Here is a 16,083-nt window from a genome sequence, read left to right as displayed (position 1 = left end):
TTATGTTTTAGCAAAGAGACTGGTGGCATTTTGCCCCTGCTTTAGAGATTTGTGGAATTTTGAACTTGAGAGAGAGGATTTAGGGTATCTGGTAGAAGAAATTTCTAAGCAGCAAGGCATTCAAGAGATGACTTGGGTGCTGTTAAAGGCCCTCAGTTTTATAAGGGAAGCAGAGCATGAAAGTTTGGAAGATTAGCAGTCTGACAATGCAATAGAAAAGAAAATCCCATTTTCTCAAGAAAAATTCAATCTGGCTGCAGAAGTTTGTTTAAGTAACGAGGAGTCAAATGTGAATCTCCAAGACAATGGGGAAAATGTCTCCAGGGCATGTCACAGAGCTTCATGGCAGCCCCTCCCATCAAAGGCCCAGAGGCCTAGGAAGAAAAGATAGTTTTGTGGACTGGACCCAGGGCCCCCCTGCTGTGAGCAGCCTCGGGTGCCTGAGTCTTAGCCACTCCAGCTGCAGCTAAAAGGAGCCAAGGTACAATGTGGGCTGTGGCTTGAGAGGGTGCAAGCCCCAAACCTTAGCAGCTTCCACATAGTGTTGAGCCTATGGGTGCACAGAAGTCAAAAATCGAGGTTTGGGAACTGCTGCCTAGACTTCAGAAGGTGAATGGAAATGCCTAGTTGTCCAGGCAGGAGTTTGCTGCAGGGGCAGGGCACTCATGGAGAACCTCTACTAGGGCAGTGCAGAAGGGAAATGTGGGGTCGGAGCCCCCACATAGAGTTCCTACTGCAGCACCACCTAGTGGAGCTGTGAGAAGATGACCACCATCCTCCAGACCCCAGAATGGTGGATTCACTGACAGCTTGCACTGTGTGCCTGGAAAAGCTGCAGACACTCAATGCCAACCCGTGAAAGGAGCCAGGAGGGGGTTTATACCCACAAAGCCACAAGAGTGGAGCTGTGGCCTTTTTTCTCCCAAAGCCGTGGGAGCCCACCTCTTACATCAGCATGACCTGCATGTGAGACATGGAGTCAAAGGAGATCATTTTGGAGCTTTGAGATTTGACTGCCCCACTGGATTTTGGGCTTGCATGGGGCCTGTAGCCCCTTTGTTTTGGCAATTTTGTCTCATTTGGAATGACTGTGTTTACCCAATGCCTATACCCCCATTGTATCTAGGAAGTAACTGACTTGTTTTTGATTTTACATGCTCATAGGCGGAAGGGATTTGCCTTGTCTCACATGAGACTTTGGACTGTGGACTTTTGAGTTAATGCTGAACTTAGTTAAGACTTTGGGGGAGTGTTGGGAAGGCATAATTTGTTTTGAAATGAGATTTGGCAAGGGCCAGGGGCAGAATGATATGCTTTGGTTGTGTGCCCACCCAAATCTCATCTTGAATTCCCACATGTTGTAGGAGGGACCCGGTGGGAAGTAATTGAGTCATGGGGGTAGGTCTTTCCCATGCTGTTCTCATGACAGTGAATACGTCTCACAAGTTCTGATGGTTTTAAAAAGGGTAGTTTCCCTGCAGAAGCTCTCTCTTTGCCTGCTTCCATCCAGGTGAGACATGACTTGCTTTTTCTTGCCTTCCAACATGATTGTGAGGCTTCCTCAGCTACGTGGAAATGTAACTCCATTAAACCTCTTTCTTTTGTAAATTGCCCAGTCTCAGTCAGGTATGTCTTTATCAGCAGTGTGAAAACAGACTAATACACCTTTGTTCCTTTTTTCTCTCATTATTTATTGCTGCAATTTGGTGGTTTTCTTTAGTGGTGACGTTTGCATCCTTTCTCCTTTGTGTGTCTGCACTACCATGAGTTTTATACTTTCATGTATTTTCATGATGGTAGATACTGTTCTTTTGCTTCCCAGTGTAGGACTCCCTTAAGCATTTTTTGTAGGACCACAACAAACAAGACACAAACAAACAGTCTTTTGCTTATCTGGGAAATATTTTTTCTCTTTTTTAAGGAATGGAGTCTCACTCTGTCACCCAGGCTGGAGTACAGTGGCATGATCATAGCTCACTGCAGCCTTGAACTCCTGGGCTCAAATGATCCTCCTGCCTCAGCCTTCTGAGTCTCTGGAATTGCAGATGTGAGCCACTGTGCCAATCTTCATCATTTGTGAAGGATAGCTTTGCTGGGTATAGCATTTTTGCCTTACTTTTTTTTTTTTTTTAACTTGTAGTATACATCCCCTTTTCTCCTAGCCTGTAAGGTTTCTGCTGAGAAATCCCTTGTTAGCCTGGTGGAGATTCTCTTATAAGTGACTTGATGCTTTTCTCTTGCTGTTTTTAGCATTTTCTCTTTGTCTTTTGACAATTTTACCATAGTGTCCTTGGAGAAGACCTTTTTGAGTTGTATTAATTTGGTAATCTTTGAGCTTCCTGTATTTGGAAGCTTTCAGGAAGTTTTCAGTTATTATTTTATTAAATAGGTTTTCTATGCCTTTACCCATCTCATCTCCATCCAGAACTCCCAGAATTTCAGTTTTTGGTCACATATGTGTCCCATATGTCATGTAGCCTTGCTTCATTCTTTTTTCTTTCTTTTTGTCTGATTGGATTATTTTAAAAGACTAGTCTTCAGGTTCAGAAATTCTTTGTTTTGCTTGATCTAGTCTATTGTTAAAACTGTCAGTTGTCTTTTGTATTTCTTTCAATGATTTCATCTCTTCCAGGATTTGTGTTTTGTTCTTTGTTATGCTGTCTATCCCTGTTGAATTTCTCATTCAGATCATGAATTGTTTTCCTGATTTTTTTGTATTCATTATCTGTGCTCTCTTATATCTCCCTGAGTTTCTTTAATATCATTATTCTGAATTTTTTTCAGGCATTTCATAGATTTTCTTTTCATTGGAATCTGTTGCTGGAGAATTATTGTGCTTCTTTGGAGATGTTATGTTTCCTTTTTCATATTTCTTGCGTCCTTATGTGACTATCTGTGCCTCTGACATAGCAGTCACTTCTTCCAATTTTCTGGGTTGGCTTTTATATGGGAAAGACCTTTTCTTATAGCTGTATCTACAGTGTTCATTGGATATCACACTTTGGCTTTGATTCTGGGTGGGTACAGTGGTATAATCTGCATATGATTTCTTCAGTTGTAATTGGCATGAGTGGTGTCTGTGAGTTATTCAGTGGCTTAGACTGCAGTTTTTTTTGTTTGTGTGTTTGTGATTGAGATGGAGTCTAGCTCTGTCACCAGGCTGGAGTGCAGTGACACAATCTAAGCTCACTGCAACCTCTGCCTCCCAGGTTCAAGCGATTCTCCTGTCTCAGCCTCCTGAGTAGCTGGGACTACAGGCACGTGCCACCACGCCCAGCTAATTTTTGTATTTTTAGTAGAGACGGGGTTTCACCACGTTGGCCAGGCTGGTCTCGAACTCCTGACCTCGTGATCTACCTGCCTCAGCCTCTCAAAGTGCTGGGATTACAGGTGTGAGCCACCGCGCCCAGCCAGACTGCAGTTGTTATTGGAGGCTGTGGTGAGGCTTTGCTGAGGATGGGGATGCCTGGAAGTCTTGTCCTTCAGCATCAGTGGTAGTGGTGGTAGACCAGGTGTGTCAATACTAGGGACCATGGGCAGTGTATGTGGGCACTGATGATAGCCTGTCTGCATGGGCCAATCCCTGGGCCTCCAGGTGGCTTCTTTGGTTGCTGGCAGTGGCAGCACTGGGCCAGGTGGGCAGGAGCGCCACTGGGCTCCTGGGTGGTGTGTGTGGCAGGCTCATCTCTAGTTCTCCAGGTGACGTGTGCAGGTTCTGGTGGTGGGTTCGGCAGGTGTTTCTTCAGGCCTCTCAGTAGTAAGTGTGAGCACTAGCTCTGGAGGCAGTGTGAGTCAATCTCCAGGCCCCCAGATGGTACATTCAGGCACCAGCATATTCCTATGCATTTCTAGATAAAAGTATTTTTCAGAAAACCTGAGCATATGTCCTATTAATACAACTTACCCTCATCAGCTCTGCATGAGAAGAAGGGGGATTTCCCTCAGTAGAATAGTCAGAATGGAATCACAGACTTGTTTTGAGCCAGTCACTGGTAAGTGGGGGTAGGCTAAAATGTTAAGCTCAGAATCTAAACCTTAGACTGGGGAATGGCTAACTTTTTCCATAAAGAAGCAAACGGTAATATCTTAGGCTTTTGGTCTAGATAACCTCTGTTGCAGTGACGCAGTGGTGCCATCATAGCCTAAAAGCATATGTAGACAATGCATAAATGAATGGACCTGGTTTTATTCCAGTAAAACTTAATTTATACAAACAGTCAGAGGGCCAGATTTGGCCCTTGGTCTATAGTTTGCCAACCCTGTTTAGACCAGTCACAATTTATTCCCTGGGGCTGGGCCAATTTTTTCTAAAAAAAAAAAAAAAAAAAAAAGAAGAAAGCAACCCGCTGTCAGAATAAAATAGGGTTTCTATTTAAAAAAGAAGAAGAGGCTGGGTGTGGTGGCTCATGCCTATAATCCTAGCACTTTGGGAGGGTGAGGAAGGAGGACTGCTTGAGGCCAGGAGTTTGAAACCAACTTGGGCAATATAGTGAGATCCTGTCTCTGCAAAGAATAAAAAAATTAGCCAGGCATGGTGGCACATGTCTGTAGTCTTAGCTACATAGGAGGTTGAAGGGGAAGATCAGGGGAGCCCAGGATTTTGAGATTACAGTGAGCTCTGACTGTGCCACTTGTACTCTAGCCTAGGCAAAGAGTAAGACTCCGTTTCAAAAAAAAAAAAAAAATGGTTGGTTGGGGTGGGTTGGAAAAGAAAGTATTTCTGAATTTCTGGGTAGGTAACTGGTAGTGTCAGGCCAAACTAGCTCTACAGTCTTATTCATTATAAATAAAGGCAACTAGAAGATCTCCATCTAGCTATTAAAAATTGGTTAAAATCTACAGAGATAAAGGATGGTGACCCTTGTATCAGTTAGTTATTGTCACAAAATGCTGCATAACAAGTCACTCCAAATCTCAGTGGCTTAATACAACAGTCATTTATTTTCATGGATCTATGGGTCAGCTGAGGATTGGTTAATCTAGCATAAGCATGTCTGGGAAGCTCTACTTTGCTGTTGGTGTCTCTTATCTTCTGCTGGAAGCAGCAGGCTGGCCTGGGCTTGTTCTCATGGTGATAGCAGGAGTGAGTGAGCACAAATGAATGCATACTTTCCAAGTTTTTGGTCATGCAGATTAATATTCCAGTGGCCAAAGCTAGACACATGACTAAACCCAACATTAGGGGCTGGAGAAATATACTCCGATTCTTCAGTGGGAGGAACTGCAGAGACAAATGGCAGAGTCTTGGATACAGGGAGGACTTGGATCCATTAATGTACCTTAATCAACAACAACCTTCTAACCACCAATACAATTAAATAAGTATTTGTTGAATGCACTTGTGCCTGAATGCTTCTGGCTGCAGCCCAGGCAATGGGGGCCTGACTGGGGAGGGACCATAGCAGGGACTCGATGTCCTGCAGGTCTGCATGTAATTGTGTACGGCCGACTCCACATTGCACATTGGTCATGGCTGATTTGCTTTGTCTTGCGTCCCCAAGGGGCAACGATTGGCTGATTTTATTTCTGAACAATTTTGACAAAGTTGTTTTCAGGAGCCCAGGAAGCAAATCAATTGTAGATTTGAATTTTGTGGGGGGTCAGAATTGTTGAATATATATATAGTCTTTTACATGCTGATAATTATTTCCATTCCACAAAGAAGGCTAGCTATTAGGAGGCTGCTGTTCAATTCCTTTGCCCCGTGAGCTCATGAGCTGTGTCTATGTGGGGGGCACTCACTTGTTAGAGATATTTCCCTTCAGAATAACATTAGCCAATATTCTAAATAAATGCAGGAAATTAAATAGTCTTCCCCAGACAGGTACTTTGCCCTTCTAAAGTGAATTACACATTGTAAAATAAAACACAGTCACATTAAAAAACCAAAAGGTCTTTGTGTTAGGTTGGTCTGGCATCAGCAAAGATATTTTCATCCAGAGTAGAAGATCCTTTTAATGCACGATATTGCGTGTGGCAGCCCCACATCTCGTTTCCTTTTTTGTTGTTGTTTTTAACTAAAAGAGTTGACAATTTTATTTTCACATTTCCCAATACAAATGAAAACTGCATCTTTTTTGGTCCCACTTCTCCCCTCCAAAACTATTCTCTTTGATAGGGCAAGGGGGCAAGTCTTCCTTATGCTGTTAAGAAAACCCAGCATCACAGAAGCATGATCTCCTGGTGAAGGGAGCAGGTAAATATAAAACTCATATAGGCCGGGCGCAGTGGCTCACACCTGTAATCCCAGCACTTTGGGAGGCTGAGGCGAGCAGGTCACGAGGTCAGGAGATTGAGACCATCCTGGCCAACATGGTGAAACCCTGTCTCTACTAAAATAAAAAAAATTTGTCGGGCATGGTGCGCACGCCTGTAGTCCCAGCTACTCAGGAGGCTGAGGCAGGGGAATCGCTTGAACGCGGGAGGTGGAGGTTTCAGTGAACTGAGATCGTGCCACTGCCCTCCAGCCTGGGCGACAGAGGAAGACTGTGTCTCAAAAACAAAACAAAACATTACAAACAAAGAAAACACAACAATAATTACAACAAAACAACACTGATGTAATGAGGCCTCCCCTCTATCCTTATCTGTCTGGTCGAGTCATTCTGGGCTGACTGGGCACCATCATGAGACGGGCAGGAGGTCTCATCATTGGGCACCCAGGCATCATGGGCATGTGGCCTCCCATGGGCGGCCTCATTACAGAAGCAGGTCCCACTGGCATCATCCCAGGAGGAGGAGGGCCCATCATTGGCATCATGGGAGGGCCCCCCCATGGGGTGCTGCCATCATTCTGAGATGGGCGAGAAGTGTCAAATACACATTAGATTGTGAAGACTTAATGTAAAAAGAAAGCAAAGTATTTTGTTAATGTTAAAATATTTTATACATGTAGACCTGGTATTTCGGATAGATTTGTTTAAATCCGTGATATTATTCCAATTACCTTCACTTCTTTTGTTTTACTTTTTAAAATGTGGTTACTACAAAATGCAAAAGTAAATATGTGGCTTGCATCATATTTCATCACATTTAGTGTGGACCCTGAGGATCTAGGGGAGTCATGAGCCTTAAGTTGAGGGTGACCCAGGTCAACGTGAATTGCTCTGAAAGAGAAGCAAAGGGCATAAAGAGAACGTATAAATGGAGAGAGGGAGTGAGGAAAGGCTTTCTTTCTTACACAGTCTGGCACTTCTTCAAAAGCTTAAACACAGAGTTCTATGACCCAGCACTTCCACTCCAGTTTATGAAAGAAATGAAAATATATGTCCGTGCAGATACTTGTACACAAACGCTCATAGCAGCATTATTCATAATAGCGCCAAAGTGAAAACAACACAAATGCTTGTCTACTGATGAGTGGAGAAATAGAACATGGTTTGACCATGCAATGGAATATTATTCAGTCATCAAAAGGAATGAAGTACTCACACGTGCTACAACACGGATGAACTATGAGAATATTATGCTAAGTAGAAGAAACCAGTCACAAAAGGTCACATATTCTAAGATTTCATTTATATGAAATGTCCAGAACACGCAAATCTATGAAGACAGAAACCCTGTCTCTACTAAAAATACAAAATTAGATGGGCGTGGTGGCATATCCCTGTAATCCCAGCTACTCGGGAGGCAGGAGAATTGCTTGAACCCAGGAGGCGGAGGTTGCAGTGAGCTGAGATTGTGCCACTGCACTCCAGCCTGTGACAGAGACTCTATCTCAAAAAAAGTAGATTGTCAGGGCTTAGTGGGAGGAGGAAATGGCAGGTACCTGCTCATGGATACAGGGTTTCTTTTGGAGTGATGAAAATGTTTTAAAATTGATCATGATGATGGTTGCCGAGCTCTGTGAATGCACTGAAACCATTGATTTGTTTACTTTAAATTGGCAAAGCATACGGTACCTGAATTATATTTTAATAGTTATATTAAAAAAGTAAAATCTTCCTTGAAGAGATGACACTTAAGGAGAGGCCTAGGGGGTGGGATGAGTTCACTATGTGGAGAAATGAGGAACAGCATTTCAGGGTGAGGAACAGCACAGTGAAGTCCCTGAGGTTGACAGGCATAGAGCAGATTTAAGGGACTTTTGTTTTTGAGACGGACTTTCACTCTTGACGCCCAGGCTTGCGTGGAGTGGCGCGATCCTGGCTCACTGCAACCTCTGCCTCCCGAGTTCAAGCGATTTTCCTGCCTCAGTCTCCCGAGTAGCTAGGATTACAGGTGCCATCCGCCACACCTGGCTAATTTTGGGATATTTAGTAGAGATGGGGTTCCACCATGTTGACCAGGCTGGTCTCGAACTCCTGATCTCAGGTGATCCACCCGCCTCAGCTTCCCAAAGTGCTGGGATTTCAGGCGTGAGCCACTGCGCTCAGCCAGATTTAAGGGACTTTCAAGAAGTTTCTGTGGCTGAAGCCTGCAGGGCAAGCGAGAGAATCAGGAAATGAGGCTGGAGAAAGAGAGGGGCTAGGTCATGGAGGGTCTCACATTAGGGTGTGGAAACTTCACACGAGTGGTCCCACCTTGGGCATCCCACGTAACTACTCTGTGTCCCAGCTTCCCCACTGGTGAAATCAAGGGCTGATGTAGGGATGGACTGAGATAGTGTGTGCTCAGTAAAGGTGACCTTTTATCTTTTTTTTTTTTTTTTTTTTTGAGATGGAGTCTCATTCTGTCGCCCAGGCCGGAGTGCATTGGCGCGGTCTCGGCTCACTGCAAGCTCCACCTCCCGGGTTCACGCCAGTCTTCTGCCTCAGCCTCCGGAGTAGCTGGGACTACAGGTGCCCGCCACCACGCCCGGCTAATTTTTTTGTATTTTTGGTAGAGACGGGGTTTCACCGTGTTAGCGAGAATGGTCTGAATCTCCTAACGTTGTGATCTGACTGCCTCGGCCTCCCAAAGTGCTGGGATTACAGGCGTGAGCCACCGCGCCCGGCCGAGCTTTTATCATTGTTAACCCACACAGCAGAGGGAGCCATTGAAAGCTGAGTGATCTGTTTGGATGCACCTTCTGAAGTGATTGCTTTGGTCTCTGTGAGGAGTGCAGATTGTCACAGGGCCAGGGAAAAGCAGAGGCCAGTCTGGAGGCATTTGCAGTCAAACAGCTGGAGGTGATGGTGGCTTGGTTTATGGTGGTGTCAGGAGAGTGGCTGAGCAGTGAAGGATATGAGAAAGATTTAGGAGGTAAAACCCACGTGACTTGGTCACTGAATGTGAGTTGTGTGGGCTGGAGGGAAGGTAAGAAAGAATGAGAAGAAATACGCAGGTGGGCCCTCCAGCCTAAGGTTACTTGAGGTCCCTTTGTGAAGAGGAATATTTGTGTTGATGATGAAGATGTCTAGACTCTGAAAGGCCATTTGCAGGACTTTTTTTTTTTTTTTTTTTTAACATCCAACAACTCCTCCTTCCCTGTGCCCTAAATATATGAATGTTTTTTGACCTAATTTATCACAGAGGGATGGACGTTCATTTGCTTTAATGAGAAATGCGGAATGCCATTAAGAAAGCATATTAAATTAATCTGGATTGCTGGGAGGGAGTTAAATCTGTTTAGATGTGCCCCAGTGTTACTATAATAGTTTGGTCTAAACCCATTTCTGGCCTGCAGCTGCAGGAGGTTGACTCCCAGCTTGCTTCATTTGAAAGACCCCAGCAACAAGCACATTTGGCATTTCTAGCCAAACCCACTTTGTGCAGCGAAGGAAAAGTTGAGGAGTGCCTCTGTTGTTTTCCCCCAAATCATTGGGCAGAAATGTGGCTGGGAGCTTCATTGCTGATTTTTTCAGCTTTAATATTGCTGTGGAAAGCCTGTACCAACACTCAGCCATGTTATTCATCCACAGCTCCAGTCTGGGCTGTGATTTGTTTTTCCTTTGCTTGACACAACCTTATTTTCCATTAAGACTCAATGCAAATAGACACTCAGGCACCATCACCATCACTCTCCCTGATTGGTGGAGGGAAGTCAATGCAGTGATTCTAGTTTGGTGTTCATATCGGAGGGTTTTATTTATTTATTTTGAGACGGAATCTCTCTCTGTCATCAGGCTGGAGTGCAGTGGCGCGCTCTCAGCTCACTGCAACCTCTGACTCCCTGGTTCAAGCGATTCTCCTGCCTCAGCCTCCCGAGGAGCTGGGCTTACAGGCATGCGCCACCACACCCGGCTAATTATTTGTATTTTTAGTATAGACGGGGTTTCACCGTGTTAGCCAGGATGGTCTTGATCTCCTGACCTCGTGATCCGTCCGCCTCGGCCTCCCAAAGTGCTAAGATTATAGGCGTGAGCCACTGCGCCTGGCCTGGAGTTGTTTTTAAAAGCACATTTCTCTCAAATTAACTCCGGGGTGTCCCACTGTGACTAGGGCAAAGGTTTGGATTTTCTGGAGGTGGGAAGTCAAACTTCAAATAGAATTTGGAGGCTGCCACTGTGGTTCATGCCTGTAATCCCAGTGCTTTGGGAGGCTGAGGTGGGTGGATCATTTGAGGCCAGAAGTTCGAGACCAACCTGGGCAACATGATGAGGCCTCGTTTCTACTAAAAATACAAAAATTAGCTAGGTGTGGTGGTACATGCCTGTAATCCCAGCTACGTAGGAGGCTGAGGCAGGAGTTATTGCTTGAACCTGGGAGGCAGAGATTTCCTGTGTCCAAATCCCATGAGGCGTATCAGCTGGCTGAAGATAAAATCGGTCACGCAGTGTTGGGATTGGGGTTGCTGTTATCATACCTCATCCCCACCCCTGCTTGGCATCCACAAACAGTCATCGTCAATGAGACATCCCTCCTGCCCCTGGCTGCCTTATTTCATCTGCACCCAACCATATCCATTGCTTGTCAGTGGGTCTCAACCTTGGCTGCACCTTGGAATCTCCTGGGGAGATGAGACAATACCAAGGCTCTCTCTCACTTAGCGTGATGTTTCCAAGGTCCATCCACATGTAGTAGGCACCAATACTTCCACTGTATGGATACAGCACATTTTGTTTATTCATTCATCAACCAAATGGCCATCTTGGTTGTTGCTAGCTTTTGGTCATTATATATATTACATGATTCCATTTATGTGAAAGGTCTAGAATAGGCAAATCTGTAGAGGCAGAAAGCAGGTAGTTGGTTGCCAGGAACTGGGGGAAAGGGGAGGGGATGGAGAGTGCTTGATGGATACAGGGTTATTTTTTGGGGGGGTGGGGGGTGTTAATGAAAATGTTTTGGAACTAGACACAGAGGATGGATGATTGCTTAACATTGTGAATGAATTTAATGATACTGAAGTGTATGGTTTCATACAGGGAGTTGTGTGTTATGTGAATTTGGCCTCATTAAAAAAATGCTGCTAGGAGCAAAGGCTCATGCCTGTAATCCCAGCACTTTCGGAGGCCAAGGTGGGCGGGTCACCTGAGGCTGGGAGTTGGAGACCTGCCTGGCCAACATGGTGAAACCCTATCTCTATTAAAAATACATAAATTATCCCTTCACATCTTTGGGGGATAATTTGTACAATGCAGTCTAACAACCAGCTGCCTCAAAATGAACTGGGATCCCTCATAACCAGGTAGCTCCCCCATCTCCAATTCTCACCTGCCAAGTCAGAATCTTGTGGGTGGGGCCGAGGACTGTACATATTGAAACAGGCAGTGACCTGGGAACTATTTCTGAACACCCCTATGTTTCCCCTTTGTTTGCTCTTTCCTTTCACATTTGGACCCCTTTGTGTGCTGACCACTGGGCTGTTTCACGTAGACATAACATAAATAAGACAGGCCAGGTGCAGTGGCTCATGCCTGTAGTCCCAGCACTTTGGGATGCCGAGGTAAGCAAATCACTTGAGGCCAGGAGTTCAAGATCTGTCTGGCCAACATGACGAAACCTCATCTCTACCCAAAATATGAAATTAGCTGGGTGTGGTGATGTACACCTTTGATCCCAGCTACTCAGGAGGCTGAGGCTGGAGAATCCCTTGAGCCCAGGAGGCAGAGACTGCAGTGAGCCAAGATCGCACCATTGCACTCCAGCCTGGGTAACAGTGAGACTCTTAAAAAAAAAAAAAGTCTAAGATTATCCTTCCTTTATGGAGCTCTCAGTAAAATAAGAAAGCTCACGATGTCCTGGCATTTGTCAGAAATACATTTGGTATATGTAGCTGGGGTCACATGCTTGACATGCCTATTGAAAGCTTCTGGGTAGGAAGAGAACAATCATTACAGCATCACAGCCTGGCATAACTGTCTCCCAGGACAGGTTTCCCTGGGGAGACTGAGACCACAACTCTGAAATCAGAGCTCAAATCCAGGTTCTACATTTCGCTCAGTAATGTACATGATGTAGGACAGTTTTTATATTAGTTATCTATTGCTGTGCAACAATATTACTGCAAACTTTGTGGCTTGAGACAGCAGACAGTTATCACTGCATGGTTTCTGTGGGTCAGGAATCCAGGCGTGACTCAGCTGGGTTCAGTGCAAGGCTGCAGCCATAGTGTCAGCCAGGGCTCAGTTCTCATCTGGAGGCTTGACTGGTGATTGATCTGCTTCCAGGCTCATCTGGTTGTTGGCAGCATTCAGTTCCTTGCAGGCTGCTGGACTCAGGGCCCCAGGTTCTTGCTGCCCTCAGCTTCTTGCCACATGGGTCTTTCCATCTGGCTGCTCATGACATGGCAGCTCACATCTTCAAAGCCAGCAAGACAGACAGCCTCCTAGCGAGACAACTTAACGTCCTATCTAACATAATCACTACATCCCATCACCTCTGCCATATTCTCTATGTTATAAGAAAGCCATAGGTCCCTTTGTCAGATGAGTAGATTGCAAAAATTTTCTCCTATTCTGTAGGTTACCTGTTCACTCTGATGGTAGTTTCTTTTGCTGTGCAGAAGCTCTTTAGTTTAATTAGATCCCATTTGTCAATTTTGGCTTTGTTGCCATTGCTTTTGGTGTTTTAGACATGAAGTCCTTGCCCATGCCTATGTCCTGAATGGTATTGCTGAAGTTTTCTTCTAGAGTTTTTATGGTTTTCGGTCTAACATTTAAGTCTTTAGTCCATCTTGAATTAATTTTTGTATAAGCTGTAAGGAAGGGATCCCGTTTCAGCTTTCTCCATATGGCTAGCCAGTTTTCCCAGCACCATTTATTAAATAGGGAATCCTTTCCCCATTTCTTGTTTTTGTCAGGTTTGTCAAAGATCAGATGGTTGTAGATGTGTGGCATTATTTCTGAGGGCTCTGTTCTGTTTCATTAGTCTGTATCTCTGTTTTTGTACCAGTACCATGCTGTTTTGGTTACCATAGCCTGGTAGTATAGTTTGAAGTCAGGTAGTGTGATGCCTCTAGCTTTGTTCTTTTGGCTTAGGATTGACTTGGCAAAGTGGGCTCTTTTTTGGTCCCATATGAACTTTAAAGTAGTTTTTTCCAATTCTGTGAAGAAAGTCATTTGTAACTTGATGGGGATGGCATTGAATCTATAAATTACCTTGGGCAGTATGACCATTTTCATGGTATTGATTCCTCCTAGCCATGAGCATGGAATGTTCTTCCATTTGTTTATATCCTCTTTTATTTCATTGAGCAGTGGTTTGTAGTTCTCCTTGAAGAGGTCCTTCATGTCCCTTGTAAGTTAGATTCCTCGGTATTTTATTCTCTTTGAAACAATTGTGAATGGGAGTTCACTCATGATTTGGCTCTCTGTTTGTTTGTTGTTGGTGTATAAGAATGCTTGTGATTTTTGCACAATGATTTTGTATCCTGAAACTTTGCTGAATTTTGGTATTTTCAGTAGAGATGGGGTTTGCTGAATGCAGCCCCCAGTCACGTACTCCCTGTTTGGTCAATAGATCAAGACCCTCTCATGTGGACCCCCTTAGACTTGTGAGCCCTTAAAAGGGACATGAATTGCTCACTTGGGGATCTGGGTTGTTAGAGACATGCACCACCATGCCCAGCTAATTTTTTTATTTTTAGTAGAGACGGAGTTTCACCATGTTGGTTGGCCAGGATAGCCTTGATCTCTTGACCTCGTGATCCGCCCACCTCGGCCTCCCAAAGTGCTAGGACTACAGGTGTGAGCCACTGCACCCAGCCCGGAGAAGGCTTTTCATACTTGCTTCACAGCCTCCTGCATCCTACCCCAGCACCAGGTACTCACCACCTGTGGGCTTCCCTCATCTGTGATCATCTCTCCCCAGGCCTGCTGTTCCTCGAGAAAGGATGTTGTAATGGGCAGAGTTCTAGGACAGCCCCCAAGAGACCCACTCCCTTATATCTGCTCCCTGTGTCATCTCCTCTTCTTGAGTGTGTGCAGAGCTTGTGATTTGGCCAAGAGGAAGGAATTTTGCAAATGTGATTATGGTCACACTTGCTTTGTTAAGCACATTTGCTCAGCTGACTTTGAGTTCATCCAAAGCAGGATGATCTTAGGTGGGCCAGACCTAATCAGGTGAATCTTTTAAAGGTGAAGTTTCAGAGATTTAACCCTTAGCCTCCAAGGAGACACAAATGGCCATGCTGTGAGCTGTGTTTGGAGGTGGCAGCTCTAGGAGTTGAGGGCCTTCATTCAACAATTGTAAGTAATTGAATTCAGTTCACAGACTGAATAAGCTTGGAAGAAGACACTGAGCATCCAATGAGACCCCAGCTCCAACTGACACTCTGGTTGCCGTATTGTGACCCTGAATAGAAGACCCAGTTAAACCCTGCCCAGACCCTTGGCTCATGAAAACAGATAATAACTGGGTGGTGTTTTAAGCTGCTCAGTTTGCACTGGTAAAACCACCAACAGGAAAGTATTATAGCAGTTAAATGGGCCGGACGTGGTGGCTCATGACTGTAATCCCAACACTTTGGGAGGCTAAGGTGGGTGGATCATAAGGTCAAGAGATGGAGACCATCCTGGCCATTATGGTGAAACCCCGCCTCTACTAAAAATATAAAAATTAGCCAGGCGTGGTGGCATGCACCTGAAATCCCAGCTACTCAGGAGGCTGAGGCAGGAGAATCACTTGAACCCAGGAGGTGGAGGTTGCAGTGACCCGGGACCATGCCACTGCACTCCAACCTGGGCAACAGAGAGAGACTCCATCTCAAAAAAAAAAAAAAAAAAAAAAAAAAAAAAAAAAAAATTAAACGAATACTTTTGACCGTTGATTGAAGATACTTTCATTCCCTCTACTTAATCATCTTTATCTTAGCCCTGAAAGAGGGATGCTTTAACCCCATTTGTAACAAGTGAGCCTGAGGCCCAGGAAAGTGATAGAATTTAGCAAAGTCCACCTTGCCACCTGGTGGTCCCAGCTAGAACTCAGCCCCAGGTCCATATACCTAAAGTCATTACAACATCCACTGAAATTTTGCCCCTCTCTCCATGCCTTCCTCTTTAGAAGCCTGTTCCTTCAGGGATAGATCTCAACCCAGTGTTACAAGGTACTGAACTCTGATTTTCACAAAATATAGTAACTACCCCCCAAAATTAATAACAGTATTTATGAGCCGGGCACAGTGGTTCATGCCTGTAATCCCAACACTTTGGGAGGCTGAGGTGGGCGGATCATGAGGTCAAGAGATCGAGAGCATCCTGGACAATATGGTGAAACCCCGTCTCTACTAAAAATACAAAAATTAGCTGGGAGTGGTGGCAGGCCCCTGTAATCCCAGCTACTTGGGAGGCTGAGGCAGGAGAATCGCTTGAACCCAGGAGGCAGAGTTTGCAGTCAGCTGAGATTGCACCACTGCACTCCAGCCTGGCAAGAGAGCAAGACTCTGTTTCAAAAAAAATATATATTTTTGAGTCCTTATGTGTCAACCACTGGGCTATCCCAGCACCAATAGATATTATGATTATGATTAGTTTTTCTGTTTTATTGATGAGGAAACCAACACATAGAAACATAAACTTGCCAAAGGTGATGGTCACACAGCGAAAGAGCTGTAGAAGCAGCACAGGAATCCCAGCAAACTTACAGCCAAGCTCTGCTTTTCACCTTCACATCATACAGTCCTCAGACTAAAACCCTAACTCTGACCTTCCCAATCAAAAATCATACTCAAGGATGGGCGTGGCAGCTCACGCCTGTCATCTCAGCACTTTGGGAGGC

The 16,083-nt window shown here is 44.9% G+C and overlaps 1 long non-coding RNA gene and 1 pseudogene across 1 annotated transcript in view, besides 1 other annotated feature; one reads left to right on the top strand and one right to left on the bottom strand.

Moving 5' to 3' along the window:
* Positions 1-16,083, top strand: part of LOC101927708 (uncharacterized) — a 64,008-nt gene that overhangs the window by 33,793 nt on the left and 14,132 nt on the right. The window lies entirely within an intron of this gene.
* Positions 3,003-3,502: an enhancer, noted in NCBI's record as "H3K4me1 hESC enhancer chr11:3555923-3556422 (GRCh37/hg19 assembly coordinates)". NCBI's record gives its function as "activates a minimal SCP1, AML or CMV promoter by ChIP-STARR-seq in primed H9 embryonic stem cells {active_cell/tissue: H9 hESC(primed)}" and the evidence as "EXISTENCE:reporter gene assay evidence [ECO:0000049][PMID:30033119]".
* On the bottom strand, positions 6,550-6,810 carry SNRPCP5 (small nuclear ribonucleoprotein polypeptide C pseudogene 5; annotated as a pseudogene).

The sequence above is a fragment of the Homo sapiens genome, chromosome 11 (assembly GCF_000001405.40).
Source record: "Homo sapiens chromosome 11, GRCh38.p14 Primary Assembly".
Taxonomy (NCBI): domain Eukaryota; kingdom Metazoa; phylum Chordata; class Mammalia; order Primates; family Hominidae; genus Homo; species Homo sapiens.
This window is presented reverse-complemented; position numbering and strand designations above follow the sequence as displayed.